The sequence below is a fragment of the Homo sapiens genome, chromosome 15 (genome assembly GCF_000001405.40).
Source record: "Homo sapiens chromosome 15, GRCh38.p14 Primary Assembly".
Lineage (NCBI taxonomy): Eukaryota > Metazoa > Chordata > Mammalia > Primates > Hominidae > Homo > Homo sapiens.
In genome coordinates this window covers 24,099,850-24,117,600 of record NC_000015.10, presented here as the reverse complement: position 1 = coordinate 24,117,600, position 17,751 = coordinate 24,099,850, and the positions used below count along the sequence as shown (strand labels likewise).

General features: G+C 39.0%; 1 long non-coding RNA gene across 1 annotated transcript in view; it reads right to left on the bottom strand.

Annotated features, from left to right (window-relative positions):
- LOC105370733 (uncharacterized) overlaps positions 1 to 15,921 on the bottom strand; it is a 440,742-nt gene extending 424,821 nt beyond the window's left edge. The window contains exons 1-5 of the long non-coding RNA XR_007064539.1: positions 15,680 to 15,921; positions 5,312 to 6,243; positions 4,376 to 4,567; positions 2,683 to 2,824; positions 604 to 1,030 (exon numbers count right to left, since the gene is read on the bottom strand). This is a non-coding gene — a long non-coding RNA (uncharacterized LOC105370733). The remainder of the gene's footprint in view (positions 1 to 603; positions 1,031 to 2,682; positions 2,825 to 4,375; positions 4,568 to 5,311; positions 6,244 to 15,679) is intronic.
- Between the last annotated feature and the right edge of the window lie 1,830 nt (positions 15,922 to 17,751).

Sequence of the window (17,751 nt, the reverse complement as noted above, 5' to 3'; positions counted from 1 at the left end):
GTTCCCCAAAGAGTGTACTGAATGAAGAGGAAACTCTTATAATTTATAATTTAGAATGTTGAGCATATTTGTACCGAGAGTTTCAGCTTCTACTAGGGCTCAATTCAGTGAACAAGAAGCCCTAATCTCAAGTGTAGGAGTCATGCACCCTTTAAACTTGATTCAGTATTCAGACTAGAGGGCAGAGACAGCACTGGGTTCTTGCCTAAGGAAGTGGTTGGATGATGGGGTGTTTTCAATGGCATCTTTCTGAGAATTCTGGTGGCCAATCCAGACTCAGCCAATCCAGACTCATGGTAATGTTTAGGAGCTTAGTGCTCAGCACTGTGTCCTCTGTGCCTGGGACATTATGGTAGCAGAGTTTCATGTCTAATCACTTTTCCAGTCTTAACCCTGAGCACTCAGAGCTCCTCAACCCTCTTGCCACCTACGGATGAGTCTGTCCTTCTACACATCTACTTCTGTCTCCCTCATGGCCTGCCACTTGGTGATTTTTTTTTTCCTGAAGAATTTGGTCATGGATGATCTTAACAGTACACATCATAATAGACCATATATATGCATTGAAATGAAGAGGAAAATGGGATTGTACAAGTCACTTACCTTATAGAAACTCCTGTTATAATGAAATAAAAAGAGCAAACCTCCATGACTTAAGATTGCCAATTTAAATGAAACCATCCTTTCCTATGGGGTGAATTGTAAGACTAGAGGAGTAAGAAGGTTTACTGAATTATAAATGCCCCAAATAATAGCACCTGAGTTACTGCTATAATCTTCTCAGAAGTGAGAAATATGTTCAAGGTCAGCTGTGTCTCTCACTGTAGGTCTCCAGGATGCAGGAGTTTGTTTTCTCGCTGAAGCTATGAACATGGTATGGAGAATGTAGCCCATGATCACAGTCTGAAAAAGCAAGAGTCTTGACTTTGTGGATGTCCTTGGGAGTGTAGTATGCAGTCCCATGGCTTAGTAAGCTTTGTGGGCATGGTTCCTGGAAGATCCCTGGTGTTCCTCTGTAAAGTGGTGTGGCCTGTAAACAGGGAGCTGTGTTGGGAAAGATGAAACAGTCCTCCCTGCCGTGGGGATCTTTGTTTATCCAGCACATATCCAGAGTCAGCTCTCAGCCTCTGTCCATCTCTTAGATCACTGCATGGTGGGCTGGGGTACGTTGTACTTTCTTTCCTTTTTTCTATTAGGCTATTTCCACCTCTGCACAACACACTCTGTATCACTAACATGCCTCACCTTCATATATCTGATGTCTGTCTAAAGGCTCATTTCCACGTCTTTTTGAGCAGGAATTAACCTACAACTCCATGATTATAAACTTTTTTCATATCTAGTTAACTTTCCTCCATGATAATGTCTATTCTGTGGCTTTTGGGCTTGTCGCTTGAAATGGTTTGGCTGTGTCTCCACCCAAATCTCACCTTGAAATGTAATAATCCCTAAGTGTCAAGGGCAGGGCCAGGTGGAGAAAAGTAAATCATGGGGGCAGTTTCCTCCATACTATTCTCATGGTAGTAAACAAGTCTCACAAGATTTGATGGTTTTATAAATGGGAGTTCCCCTGCACAAGTTCTCTTGTCTGCCGCTATGTAGGATGTGACTTTGCTCCTCATTTGCCTTCTGCCACGATTGTGAGGCCTCCCCAGCCATGTGAAACTGTGAGCCAATTAAACTGCTTTCCTTTATAAATTACCCAGTCTTAGGTATGTCTTTATTAGCATCATGAGAACAGATTAATATATCACAAGACAATATAGATCCATGATGTGAGTGTCAAGAGAATGTGTGGTCCCATAAATTCGTGATGGAGTCTGCATGACGAAGAAAACTGAATTATCACAGTGTTTTCTCAAAGGCTTAAGGCATCATTTCCTTTTAAAACTTGGGGAATAAAAGTAATCCCTGTACTAAGAAAACACCCTTAATGCACAAGTATTTATGTTCACCATCACTGGCGTTTCTCAATCTTCTCTTCTAATGTCTGGAAGTCATGTCTTCTAAAATGTCTTTATAGTGAGATCCTACAAAGACACTGACAGAAAATGCCTGAAAACAGGGCCTTCTAACATATGTGAGAAAGGCGTCTTTCCTTGGAAAAGTGGTTATGAACACAATTGATAACTGGGTAATGGGAAGTGTGATGGGAAAGAAGAAAGTGGATGAGTGTCCCTGGAGCTTGATGGTGTCTTTCTGAAGCAGGTGCCCTGTGTAGGAATGGGGGATAATAAGGCAAGCTACTTTGCCATAGTCTCCCTATATCTCCATTCATCCTCTGATCTGTGGTTTTATTGTGGTTTAAATCTGTCTTTGTTATTGTTGTTTTATTTTCTGGTACCTGAATATTACATTTCAAGAAATATTTTTATTTTATCATAGTTTTAGTTTTATAGAAAGTAGTAAAGATAATAGAGTTTCATATATCCTACAGCTTCCTGAAATGTTAGCACCTTATATCACCGTAGCATATTTATGAAAACTCAGAAATTGACAGTGGTACAAAACTATTAACTGGAAAAGATTTTCTTCATATTTTATGAGGTTTTCCACTAGTGTCATTTTTCTGTTCTAGGATCTAATCCAAGATACCACATTACATTTACTGTCAGGCATATAACTGACCGATTGTTGTCTACATAGTTTAGACTTTCCAACCCAGCCCTACACAGTACTTACAGTTTCTCTAGGTCAGATGCCTGGCAGAGATTTCAAGGGAAGGCTCATCTGGGGAAGGATCCCCTTCCAAGCTCCTGGGATTCTTGGGAGGATTCAATTTCTGTCCAGGTCAAGATGACTTCACTGGTGTGTTATTCAAAGCCTTTTGGGAATTAATAACAATCAATAAAAACAGACTAGTAAAGAACCTTTCCTAATGCAATGTATGAAGCCAGTGTTCCCTGACACCACAGCTAGACAAAGACATTTCAAGAAAAGAAAATTACAGACCAATGTGAAACAGGCAAAAATTATCAAGGAAATACTATCAAAATTAACTAGTAACATATAAAAAGGAGTATACACTAGGAGCAAAACTATTTATCCCTGCAATGTAAGTCTGGTTAAACATACAAAAACAACTGGTGTTATAAACTATACTAACAGAATTTTTTAAAAAGACTCATGGTCACCTCTAAAGACACAGAATAGGCATTTGACAAATTCCAAACCCATTCATGATAAAAGCTCTGGGAAAATTAGGCATAGAAGAAAACTTTCTAAATCTACAAAGAGCATCCATGGAAAACTCACATAACATGAGGAAAGACATATAAGCCAACAGAATAGAGTTGAGCACCCCAAAATCAATCTTTATATATAGGGCAAACTTATTTTCAAAGTTGAAAAATTAATTCAACATGAAAAAATAGTTTTTCAACAAATGTTGCTGGGAGAAAGGGATATCCACATGCAAGTTAAACTGTTTCCTGCACCATATATGTATTTGACTCAAAATAGAATATGTGGCTAAATGTAAGAGCTAAAACTAAAAATCCCACAGAAGAGAATATAAAAATAGATTTTCATGGCCTTACATGAAACAATGGATTCTAACATGTGACACAAAAGTACAAGTGACAGAAAAAAAAAATAGATACATTGAACTTCATGTGGATCAATACCTTTTAAGATGCAAAGTACACCATCAAGACAACTGAAATAATGGAAGAAGATATTCTCAAGTCATATAACTGTTAGGAGATTATTATCCAGAATATATGAAACATTCAGGCATGCACCACCACACCCGGCTAATTTTTGTATTTTTAGTAGAGATGGGGTTTCGCCATGTTACTTAGGCTGGGCTCAAACTCCTGGCCTCAAGTGATCCACCCACCTGAGCTTCCCAAATTGCTGGGATTACAGGCATGAGCCACCATGCCCAGCCTCATTCTTCATTATTATTTTCTAAATTTGTATTTCCAAATAATATATTGTTCAGGTTTTTTGTCTTCAACATTAGACAAATACGTGTATAAATGAATGTTTAATCTTACTCAAATTATGAAAAAACATAACAAATCCATATTGCGATACATCCTATGGAACACCTGACAAGTTCTTTTCACTAAGATCAAGGGCAAAAAAATAAGTGAAGACCCAGAAACTGATACAGATTAGACAGGACTTCATGTGGCAGGTAGGTTCTAAGATGCTTTCCAATGATCCACACCTCTAAATATGCAGAACCCTATTCTAATATCCTCACTGAGGTTTAGACACGCCATACCACATGTATAAACAAACAGAAAAGGGGCAAAATGTATGGAACAATGGTTTGTAAGAGAGATTATATCAAACAGTGAAGGACAGTGATACCTGAGACATACAATACTGTGACATGAGCTCTACCATTGCCTCAAGATACCACCTTGGGAGATGTTCCAGGCTGTGGTGTGTCATGGACTTTGGAAGTCACTGTGAGTTGAGAAGATGCAATTGAGAGTCGAGTACAGATTGGATGGATTGCATCTAGCATTTCTTCACATCCAGTGGTAAGAATGGGAGACAGCATCCATGTCAGCATCCATGCAGGCTGGACTGCTAGTGTCATCAGTACTCACTGAAATATGGTTCACAGAAGTACAGGAGCAACGCAGAAACAAAGGCAAAGGCACAAAGAAACGTTATTTGAGTGAAGATTTAATATTGCACAAAGACTGACACTTTTACATGTTGTACCAAAACCAAGGCTTAAAAAATAACCATTCGAGATAAAGTAAATGATGCGTGTAAGTCAAATGAACCAACCAAGTCGACACAAACCTACTTTTACTCTACAATTTTCATACATGTGGCTGATAAACTCACTATATTATAAAATAATGAAAGTGGAGCTTTCTATTTATAAGAGCAGAACAGAATTATCAGAAAAATAAGGATAAAAATATTTTTACCTCCATTTGTTTCCCTATAAAACCTGAAGTTTGCTTTATATTTGGAAAATAATTTGTCACTTTCTTCACTACATCAATTCCACTGCCATTCTAGTTTGCGTGGAGTATACGGTTGCTATTTATACGCAGTAAAATTAAGTTAAATGGTGCCAGGCTGCAATATCATAGATGAGGGGTTATTACTGTTGTTATTTTAACCAAGATCTGTCATTGAAATTCTCCGTGTACAGTATTGAAGCCAAGAGACCCTGACTGCAGCCCTAACTGGAAAATCAAATGCCCATCTACTGATTTGGAGCACTTATAAAATATCAGTGTTCACGCTCTCTTGGTTGCTCACATCTCATAAATCTTGGACACATGTCCCCTATGTCCCCAGAATAATTTTAGATCATTATATTGATTGTTACCTTTCTTGTACAGTAGACATGTGTTATTGAGTTTCAGCGACTCATTCTGTATGAATGCTTCACTCACAAGAGGATGTGTTGTCAACATAGTCGTGTTCGAATTAAGACACTCCTCACTGCAAGCTCTCAATAAATTCTGGTCTGTTTGTTGGAGTCCTGCTAAATTATATCTGAAAATGGGGCTTTTTGAGACATGTGAGTAATAGGCATCTGTCTTTCAAAAAATCGTTACGTAGTTAGCACCAGATGCTAAAACTGGTGACTGAAAAATGCGGAATATGATGAAGAAGATGAAAGAGGATGAGTCTCTGGAACTTGGGGGGATCTTCCTGAAGCAAGTGTACCGGTGTTCAAGTTGGTAAATCAATATGGAAGGATGCTTTGCTATTCTCTCTCTACATGCCCTTTCATCTCCTGAGCTGAAGCTATTCTGTCTGTGCTTTGGAATTTTTTTCATATCACATTTAATACTTTTTTCAAAAACATTTTTTCTTTGAAATAATTTTAAATACACAGAAATATGCACAGATAGTACAGAAAGCTTTAGACATCTTTGAATTACATGCAACGTAATAGATTATGTAACCATGAGCCCTAAAAAATAGTTGGCACAAAACTATTTATTGAAGTATAGGCTTTTTCCATATTTTACTAGGCTTTTAAGTAAAAAATGTCATTTTTCTGTCCAGGATACCACATTGCATTGACTGTCAGGTGTATTATTTATTGCTGAATAACAAATTGTCACACACTAAGTGGCTCTTACTCACGGTTTCTCTGTATCATGAATCCAGATGTAGATGATGGCCAAGGATGAGGTCTCAAGTGAAGGTTCAGCTGGGGAAGGCTCCTCTTCCAAGTTCGTGTGATTGTTGTTAGGAGTCAAGGCCCTGTGCTGGTTGAGATGACTTCACTGGTGAACTATTCCAAACCTGAAAATAATTAATAAAAATCTATCACAAACTCTTCATAAAAATTTAAACAACTGTAAAAGTGGAGAAGATATCACTTCCTGATGTATACTATTAGTTAGTTTACACTGACATTACAACTAAAGCAAGACATTTCATGAAAGAAAAATTAAGGCCAATATGTTTTATAAATAAAGGGTAAATGTCTTCAATAAAATGCTAGCAATACAAATCAGCAAATGTAAAAAGAATTATACACCATCATCAAGGGTATTTGTCTCAGGAATGCAAATTTGGTTCAACATATAAAATAATTAGTGTCATGACCTATAAGAATAAAATAAAAAACAAAAGCCATATGATCATCTCAAAAGATGCAGGAAAGGCACCTGACAAATCCAAAATCCATTTTTGATAACAGTATACAACAAATTAAGCCTATAAGGAAAGTTTCTTTATTTTAAAGGGCATCCATGAAAAACTCAGTATCATCATAATTTAATTTAAAGGCTCAATAATAGTATAAACTTGGACATACAGGTCAAAGGAATATAGTAGAATTCAATGTCCAAAAATTAATCTTTACCTTTATAGTCAAATGATTTTATAAGGTTGCCAAGCCAATTCAATATGGAAAAATATATTTGTAACAAATGTTGCTAGGACAATTGAATATCCACAAGCAAGTTGAACTTCTCACTCATACCATATACATAATTGGCTCAAAATAATCATATATCCAAATGTAAGATCTAAATAGACCAAACCCTTAGAAGATAATATAGAAATACATAATTTGGGTCTTAGGTTAAACAATAACTCCTATAATTTCTAAGATATGATACTTAAAGCCCAAGAAAAGGAAATAAAAAATGAATATATTTAACTTTGTGAGAAGTAAAATCTTCTGAGACTCAAAGTACATAATTAAAAGTAAAAAGATAATGCAAAGAATAGAAGAAAATCTTCACAATCACATAGCAGAAAACAATCTATTAGCCACAATATATAAAATATTTTACAACTCAAAAAGGCAAATATCACAATCAAATTGGTGAACTATCTGAACTGACATGTATCCAAAGATACTATAGTCACGTCTAGTAAGCACATCATATGAGGTCTAAGTCTTTTGTCATTAGGAACATGCAACTCTAAACAACCATGAGATACATTTCACAAATCTAAAGGGTATATTGCAAAAAAAAGTAAATTTAAAAAGGCAAAATATTTGTGTGATTTTGGTCGTGTGACACTCTGCAATGTGAAAAAGTATACAGATAATAAAATGTTTGGTATTTACTAGGAGCTTGGAAAAGAGGCAGGTCAAATTGGTGAGGTACAGCAGATTTGCTCTAGGCAGTGAAATTATTCTGGTATCATACTGTAATGATAAATGCATGATTATATTTTAGAAATCCTAAATAACTTTATAATACAAAAAATGAATTTAAAATATACAAATTAAAAACCTCCTAGAGTAGGTGGCAGATAGCATGGGGCTATACACATAATAGAATGAAATAACACATCAGTGAAATAACCTCACTGAATGGAGTGGTGGAAAAGCAACTGACCCAAGGAACGTAGCAAGTAAGTGGATACTCTGAGTCTAAAGGGTAAAGATTTATCCCTAAAAACTTTAGTTGGTAAAGTTATTTCTCATGGCCATATACATTTCTAATTCTGAAACCACTTATACAAGTCTTTCAGATTATGTGATTAAATAACAGAAGCATCTTTATCACTGTTAGTGTGGTAGGCTACATACAAGTAAGCGGGAATAGGTGCAGTGATTCACGTGGTACTGGATTAGATCATGGGGTGCTGGAGGATTATTAGGAATTCATGTTTAACTTAAAGATACAGATACATGATAAAATATTTGTGTGCGTGTGTATGTCTCTGTGTGTGTGTGTGTGTGTGTGTGTGTGTGAATCAGTGTACATAGATGTATTTGCTCTGTCAGCACACAAGATCACGAATCAACAGATGCCCCAGGAGCAATGAATATGCCAAGAGCCCAGATCTCCATTTCTAATTCAATTTTCCCATAAAAAGAACTAGGTCTCTGTGAAAAAAAAAATGTTTAATATCAGGCTTGTGAGGAAATCCACACAATTAGCTTAAGCACCTAGTAGTGCCAGAAAAAATAAAACGCCAAACAACAGTGCAAACAACTAACCAACCACATAACAACAGCGAAGTTTCATTATGGTAGTCTTTCAAAATGACAAACGATCCAACTGAAAGACCTTCCAATAGCCAACAGTGCAAACATCTAACCAACCATATAACAACAGCGAAGTTTCATTATGGTAGTGTTTCAAAATGACAAACGATCCAACTTAAAGACCTTCCAATAGCCAACACTGCAACAATTTAAACAAATAAATGAAGTAGTAGAAGGAAAGAGTAAAACAAATATCCATGTTTGCATACTGATAAAAATGACTGCATAAATACAACGATGATTGGAGGAGAATAGACACTTTCAGGATGAAAGGTCCAAATAACTTTTGGTAAACATTCTGCTCATAAAGTGGAGCATTTTTTGTTTTGTTTTGTTTTTTGTTTTTCAAAATGGCAGATTGGAGACTTTGTTAGTGTGCCTCACCTGCTTAGAAAGAGCAAAATAGTATCTAGAGATTCACACTGTGAATTTGTATGCAACAAACCCAGGAACTCAACAGAAAAAGTGAAAGAACCTGTTGAAAGGAGCAGCAGGCAGCAACTTGCACCATGTGTCAGATGGACAACTGAGCCTTCAGAGTGCAAAAGGAGGAGACTCTCTCTGTGTTACATTCCCACTGGGGAACCAGGCAGTCGAGGACACAGGGAAGTGCCTTAACCCTGCCCAGCACTGGAGCTGACTTACAGAGGAGGGGACCATGAAAGAAGGAGTGGCACCTGGGTGTGCTGCGTGTGCACTCCCAGATCTCAGCAGGGACAGAGGGAAGATATTCCTGACCCTAATTCACAGAAGATCTTGCAGAAATCAGCCAAGTAACCCAGGCAGCAGTCACGCACTGGAAGAAGCTCCCAACTGAGGGAGAAGCTGACCAACTAAGATTTGTATTTGATCTAATACTGAGCAGAGGATGAACCCCCTAAGACCCGAACCAAGGGGCATGCAGGAAGCTTTCTTGTGCCAGGGTCATGGGAGTTGGGTACTGCTACTTCACATGTCAAATCAAGGGGTGTGGCCTCAGAGCTACCGTTTCAGTTTCAATCTCCAGTGGGAAGTCTTGCAGCCTGGGGCAGGTTTGTGTTCTCAGCCTAGACTGCCTGAGACTTAGCTGACTGTCGTGGGTGTTTGCCAGCAGAAGTCTGCATGTGTAAGACCTTCTGTGTCAAGGTCGTGGGAATTGACCTGCCACTTGCTACCCCTCTCTCCATGTACAGACTCTCATGTAGCAGAGGGTGTTCTCCTCCCTGGAACATTATCCCAGTGGTCAGGGAACTGTCCACTGAATCCCACTGTGGCTTCTACTTACACCCACACTTGGAGAGGCAGAGTATGGACTTTCCTGACCCAGTCCACACTCGGCTTTGCCCCTCTACCTGTCCTAGTAGCAGAACAGGAACAGTGACTTTTCAGAGTTCCGCGTCACTTCCCATCAGCTGACTACTTCCCCTGGGTAACAAAGGTTAAGCATAAATCCCACCACCGTGACTGCAGCTGGCTCTCTCCTGCAAGTGCCACCTTCTGGCCCACGGTCAACCAACACAGTCCATTACAACATCTGCTGGCACACTAACATGGTACTGGTATAAATGTAGACATACAGACCAGAGGAACAGAACAGAGACCCCAGAAATGAAGCCAAATACTTACGATTAACTGATTTTCAACAGAACAGACAAAAACATACACTGAGGAATGAACACCCCATTCAATAAAACGTGCTGGGAAATAAGATAGCCACATGCAGAAGAATGAAACTGGATCCTTATCTGTCACCATAAATAAAAATTAACTCAAGATGGATTAAAGACTTAAATGTAAGACACGAAACCATAAAGATTCTAGAAGAAAAACTAGGAAAAAATCTTTTGGACATTAGCCTGGCAAAGAATGTTTGACTAAGACCCCAAAAGCAGCTATAACATAAATAAAAACAAATAAATGGGACTTAGTGAAACTGAAAAGCTTCTGCAGAGCAAAAGAAATAATCGACAGAATAAAGAAACAACCTACAGAATGGGAGAAAATATTTGGAAACTGTCCATCCAACAAAGGACTAATCCAGAATCTTCAAGAAACACAAACAAATCAGCAAGAAAAAAATAAATAACCCCATTAAAAAGTGGGGAGATGACATGAACAGGCAAAAGAAGATACACAAATGGCCAGCAAACATATGAAAAAAAAATGCTCAACATCACTAATCATCAGGAAATGCAAATTAACACCACAATGCGATACCAATCTTACCCTAGTCAGAAGGATCATTATGAAAAAGTCAATAAATGATAGACATTGGTGTGGATGAGGTGAAAAGGGAATGCTTAGACACCCTTGGTGGGAATGGAAATTAGTACAACCTGTATGGTAAACAGTATGGAGATTTCTCAATGAACTTTTAAAAGCAGAGCTACCATTCAATCTAGCAATCCCACCACTGGGCATGGACCCAAATGAAAAGAAGTCATTCTATCAGGCACCACCTCCAGTCTTCCTGGACCCGGCAATTCGGGGGTTTCAGGCTTGGGACAAGTGCAGGGTTCTCCATAAAGGCAGCCTCGGTAGTGCACCCGACCCCTTGCTTAAACAAATTTACAAGAGAAAAACAAACAACCCCATTAAAAAATAGGCAAAGCACCGGGCGGGGTGGCTCACGCCTGTAATCCCAACACTTTGGGAGGCCAAGGCGGGCAGATCACGAGGTCAGGCGATCGAGACCATCCTGGCTAACATGGTGAAACCCCATTTCTACCAAAAATACAAAAAATCAGCCAGGTGTGGTGGCATGCACCTGTAGTCCCAGCTACTTGGGAGGGGGAGACAGGAGAATCGCTCGAATCTGGGAGGTGGAGGTTGCAGTGAGCCGAGATCGCGCCACTGCACTCCAGCTTGGGTGACAGAGTGAGACCCAGTCTCAGAAAAGAAAAAAAAAACTAGCAAAGGAGAAGAACAGACAATTTTCAAAAGACGACACACATGCGGCCAAAAAGCATATGAATAAAAGCTCAGTATCACCGATCATTAGAGAAATGCAAATCAAAACCACAATGAGATACCATCTCACACCAGTCAGAATGGCTATTATTAAAAAGTCAAAATAACAGATGCTGGTGAGGTTGCAGATAAAAAGGATCACTTACACACTGTTGGTAGGAGTGTAAGTTCATTCAACCATTGTGCAAAGCAATATGTCAATTCCTCAAAGAGCTAAAATCAGAACTACCATTCAACTCAGCAATCCCATTACAGGGTATACACCCAGAGGAATACAAATCATTCTTCCAAAAAGACACATCAACATGAATATTCATTGAAGCACTACTTACAAGAAAAAAGACATGGAATCAACTTAAATGCCCATCAATGACAGGATGGATAAAGAAAATGTGGTACATGTGTATCATGGAATACTATGTAGCTGAAAAAAAGAATGAGATCATGTCTTTCACAGGAACATGAATGGAGCTAGAAGGTATTATCCTTAGCAAACTAACACAGGAGCAGAATACCAAATTATCACATATTCTCACTTTTAAGTGGGAGCTAAATGATGAGAACTCATGAACACAAAGAACGGAACAAAGGACACTGGGGCCTACTTGTAAGTGAAGGGTAGAAGGAGGGAGAGGAGCAGAAAAAGTAAATATTGGGCAGTAGGCTTAGTACCTGGGTGAAAAAATGATCTGTGCAATAAACCTCCATTACACAAGATTACCTATATAACAAAACTATACATGTATCCACAAACCTAAATATATAACGTTAAAAAAATCAAAATCATATAAAAACTATAAAAACTAAAAAATACTAAACTGACCTGCTTTTCAAATAAAGTTATATTGCTTGCATATAAACCATAAAACCCTATAAAAACCATAGAAGAAAAACCATAAAAACCATAAAAACCATAAAACCTATAAAAACCATAAAAACCCTAGAAGAAAACCCAGGCTTTACCATTCAGGACGTAGGCATGGGCAAGGACTTCATGTCTAAAACACCAAAAGCAATGGCAACAAAAGACAAAATTGACAAATGGGATCTAATTAAACTAAAGAGCTTCTGCACAGCAAAAGAAACTACCATCAGAGTGAACAGGCAACCTACAAAATGGGAGAAAATTTTCGCAACCTACTCATCTGACAAAGGGCTAATATGCAGAATCTACAATGAACTCAAACAAATTTACAAGAAAAAAACAAACAACCCCATCAAAAAGTGGGAAAAGGACATGAACAGACACTTCTCAAAAGAAGACATTTCCGTCTCTACTAAAAATACAAAAAATTAGCCGGGCGTAGTGGCGGGCGCCTGTAGTCCCAGCTACTTGGGAGGCTGAGGCAGGAGAATGGCGTGAATCCGGGAGGCAGAGCTTGCAGTGAGCCGAGATCCCGCCACTGCACTCCAGCCTGGGCGACAGAGCGAGACTCCGTCTCAAAAAAAAAAAAAAAAAAAAAAAAGAAGACATTTATGCAGCCAAAAACACATGAAAAAATGCTCACCATCACTGGCCATCAGAGAAATGCAAATCAAAACCACAATGAGATACCATCTCACACCAGTTAGAATGGCAATCATTCAAAAGTCAGGAAACAACAGGTGCTGGAGAGGATGTGGAGAAATAGGAACACTTTTACACTGTTGGTGGGACTGTAAACTAGTTCAACCATTGTGGAAGTCAGTGTGGCGATTCCTCAGGGATCTAGAACTAGAAATACCATTTGACCCAGCCATCCCATTACTGGCTATATACCCAAAGGACTATAAATCATGCTGCTATAAAGACACATGCACACGTATGTTTATTGCGGCATTATTCACAATAGCAAAGACTTGGAACCAAGCCAAATGTCCAACAATGATAGACTGGATTCAGAAAATGTGGCACATATACACCATGGAATACTATGGAGCCATAAAAAACGATGAGTTCATGTCCTTTGTAGGGACATGGATGAAATTGGAAATCATCATTCTCAGCAAACTATCGCAAGAACAAAAAACCAAACACCGCATATTCTCATTCATAGGTGGGAATTGAACAATGAGAACACATGGACACAGGAAGGGGAACATCACACTCTGGGGACTGTTGTGGGGTGGGGGGAGGGTGGAGGGTTAGCATTGGGAGATATACCTAATGCTAGATGACGGGTTAGTGGGTGCAGCGCACCAGCATGGCACATGTATACATATGTAACTAACCTGCACATTGTGCACATGTACCCTAAAACTTAAAGTATAATAATAATAATAATAAATAAAATTAAAAAAAAGAAAAAATACTAAACTCAGCTACTTTTCAAATAAGTTATATTGCTTCACAGTTGCTGTATCTTATAACAAATAATCCTAATTCCTTTCTCCTGTCCTTTGCATTATTGCTGATATCCACTTCATATATATATGTGTATATATAAACATGTACACACACATATACAAACACACATGCACATGTGCATATATCTGTACACATATAGACTTATACATAAGATATATACATGGGCATATATTATTTAATAATTTTTCTATTTTTTCATGAAATTGCTTTCTCTTATAATAAACTAAGAATATAAAAATGTTACACCAATAAAAAGTTAAAATTATATATAACTGATATTTTTATAAATACGAGATGGAAAAATGTAAAATGCTCAATGAGAACCACAAAAGCCAGAAAATGAATGGAAGATGAAAATATGAAGAAGGAACAAGGACAACAAATCGAAAACATTGACAAATATGATAAATATTAATCCAACTGCATCGCTTACCACTTTGAATGTCAGTGGTCTAACTGCACCAAGTAAAAGACACAGATTTACAAAGTGAATCAAAAAACAAGACACAACTGTTATTTATAAGCCCAATCTAAATATAAAGACAAATAAAAGTAAATGAATGGAACAAAATGTACGATGCTAACTCTAATCAAAGTAAACAAGAGGAGCTATATGAATTACAGGCAGAGCAGACTTCAAAGCAAGAAAAGTTATCAGGAATAAAGAAGGGCATTACATAGAGATGAAGAGCCATTCTTCCAAGAAGATGTCCTAATTCTTAAAGCCTGTGAGCCTGATAACAGAGCATAAACTATGAGGCAGAAATCAAGAGAACCACAAGGAAAAAGATGAATTCAGTATTATAGTTGGAAACATTAAAACCCTATATCAGATACGGACAGATCTAGCAGGCAGTAATTCAGGAGTGAAAAGCTGAACTCAACAGCACCAACAAGCAACTGGGCATAACTGACACCTACAGTCTCCTTCCCTCAACTACTCCAGAGGACACATTCTTCTTAAGCTCACATGGAATATTCAGCAAAATGTGCCACATTCTGGGACAAAAAATACCCCAACAATTTTTAAAAAGTAAATCATACAATGTCAGCTGTCAGACCACAGTGGAATTAAAATAGAAATCAAAGGATGAATGGAATGATAACTGTAATATCCCAAAACGCATTGAGATTAAACAACACACTTCCATATAATATATGGATCAAAGAAGATATCTCCAGAGAAATTTTTTTAAATTAACTAAATGAAAATAAAAACACAATTTATCAAAATTTGTAGGATGAAAGGAAAGCAGAACATATAGGCAAATAAATACTATTGAACACATATATAGGAAATGACGAAAAGACCAAAAATCTGTCATCTGTGTTTCCACCTTTGGAACCTAGAAAAGGAAGAATATATTAAATCTAAAGTCAGTAAAAGAAAAGCGATAACGTTGTTAACAGACTAAAACAAAGGAAAAGTTAAAGCAACTGGATTTTTCAAACACATATTATCTTAATAGTTCTCAGAACACAGAGGCACCCAAAATTAACAGGGCAAACAAAGCACCCCAACACCCCCCTTGCTTACGGGCATGCAGCCATGACCCCCTCAGAAATGGGAACCTCAGGATTTAGAAATGATCAGTCTCGGGCTACTGAGGCCGGGCAGTATCATTTCCTCCGAAGTCACGCTGTACATTTTAGAATAGCTAAATAATAGATTTTTAGTGTTCTCACCATAAAGTATTAGCTGGTGAGTTGATGCCCATGTTAATTAGCTTGATTGAATCTTCCCCAATGAATACAAGAATCAAAATATCACACTGTTATCCATAAATATACGCAATGTGTCAACTAAAAGTTTTGGTAAATTCTGTATCTATGAATAATTCACAGATAGGAAACGTAGGTAAGTAACAATTGTTATGTCCATAATATAAAAGGGCATATGTGACAGAAAGCAAGCTTTTTAAATGTACGTTACGGTCTGGGAAACACGGAGAAATCCTGACGTTTGAAGAAGAACAAACAGGGACGACGACACAGGCAGGCACCGCCTCAGGAACAAGCGCGCTTCGCGGAGAAGCTACCAGAAAGCCCAACGCGGACCCGGCAGACATCCGCCCTGAGTTCCCCTGTAGATCTCACCGCCCTCTCCCCCTGTCAGCCGCGCCCTCTGATCACCGCCCTCCACCTTCCTCCCTCACTCCCTGTCAGCCTCGCCCTCCACCCGCGGCCCTCACGCCCCACGTGGGCCTGGCTCCCGCCCCCAAGCCCAGCCTGCGCGGCAGCCTCCGGTTCCCCTCACTGCGCAGCTGCGACCCCCGCACCCGCACTTCCCTTCAGGCTGCTCCCAGCCTCACCTGTGTGGGCGCCAGGTGGAGAGGAGACTGCAGATCTGAGTTTTCTGGTCCATGGAGCCCACCTACATCTGCAAAAGGACGGAGGGGGCAGAAACCTGCCCTGGCGGGGAAGTGAGGGTCTGAGCGATGGAGAAAAGGCGGCGAACAAGAGCAGCCCCATGAGCCCTGCAGTCAGGCAGCCGGGGGTCCTCTTTGCTCTTCTCCACCCTCCTTTCTCCCAGACCCACACCCCACTGACTTAGCCCAGGAGCCTCCCCAGGGGACAGGGCCCACTCACTCCTCAATGTCCTTCCCATAGGCTGAGCTCATGGGCTGGGGTAACATCTCAGGGAACCAAACCGACATTCGAATCCCTCCCCACAGAGCGCAGTCCTCAGGGATCAGCCCTCCCTGCCTCCCCTGCCCAGTCCCTCCATGGTCTGCCCTTCCTGCTCCTGCGTCCTCACCAATTACTCATCCCAGTGGTCCTAGAAAATCCACCGTCCTCTTCTCATGGCCTGGCCTGTGCCAGGCACACACGTTTTCCTCCTCGCTTTCCCTCCCCTGTCTCCTGGACCCACTGCGCCTCACTCTCCAGCATCTCCTCCAATGTTCCTCCTCCTGGAGGCTTCCCCTGTCCATCCCACCCCAGGCCTGAAACCTGTCCTCTCAGTTCCCAAGGGCAGCTCTTCCACCTTACAGTTTAATTTTTGTCAAGTTTTCTGAAACCCTATTGGACAGAAGCATCACAGAACATGGCAACTTTGTCTATGGTGTCTCTGAGCCCCACACATGTCCTGGACAAAAAGCAACTCTGAAAATTCTCTGGTAATCTATAAAAGTATAAATCACTTTTAAAATATTATTATCTGATGAAAGAAAATAAATTGAAGTTCCCACTTCTTTTCTACAGACGATAATCGGAAAACATTTGCTGTGTGGAGTTGTATGCACAAATTTTCGGAGTGGCTTTTTTTTTTTTTACTGAAGAAGCAATTTTGGTATTTACTCATCAAAGAGTAAGAGAAGAATACACACCTATATTATGAGCCATAAGTATAAGGAAATGCCTTGCAGACGTTTACAAATACTATGTAGAAGGAATCAGACATTCAAGCCAGTATCTATAAATTTCAGGTAAAAGAAAAACAATATGCTGAAGTTTATTCGTGCATATTAACAAAATAACTGGTCTTTGTGTGCTGGGAGTCTTGATGTACCATCTATTCAAATTAATGCGTTTGAACCTTGCAAATTAGAAGAAACTACGCCACATACACAACCCTTTTTAAATATGAGTCTCTAGCAAATTTTGTCTTGTGGTTCCTAGCAAACTTTCTGCACCTCTTCAACTAGAAGTATTTCAGAGGAAATTTGTGGAAAACAATTATAGAGAATGGGTGATGTTTCCATTAATTTAATGGAGTGATAAATTATTAAAATAAAGATATTTTGAAAAATGATTATGAATAATTAAAATAAAAGGCATTAATATGCAATAAAAAATTTAAATTTGGTCATACATGATGTTTATGTGATGATAAAAAGTACGTTTACACAGAAAGTGTCAAAGGCCTTTGCACACCAAAACAAACACCATTTCATTTGTTCAAAACAAATTCTGTGTCATTTGTTTTCAGACAGCAAACAGAATGATTCTTTGACACACTCAGTCTTTCCAAGAAATAACCAAGTTCCCGAACCAACAC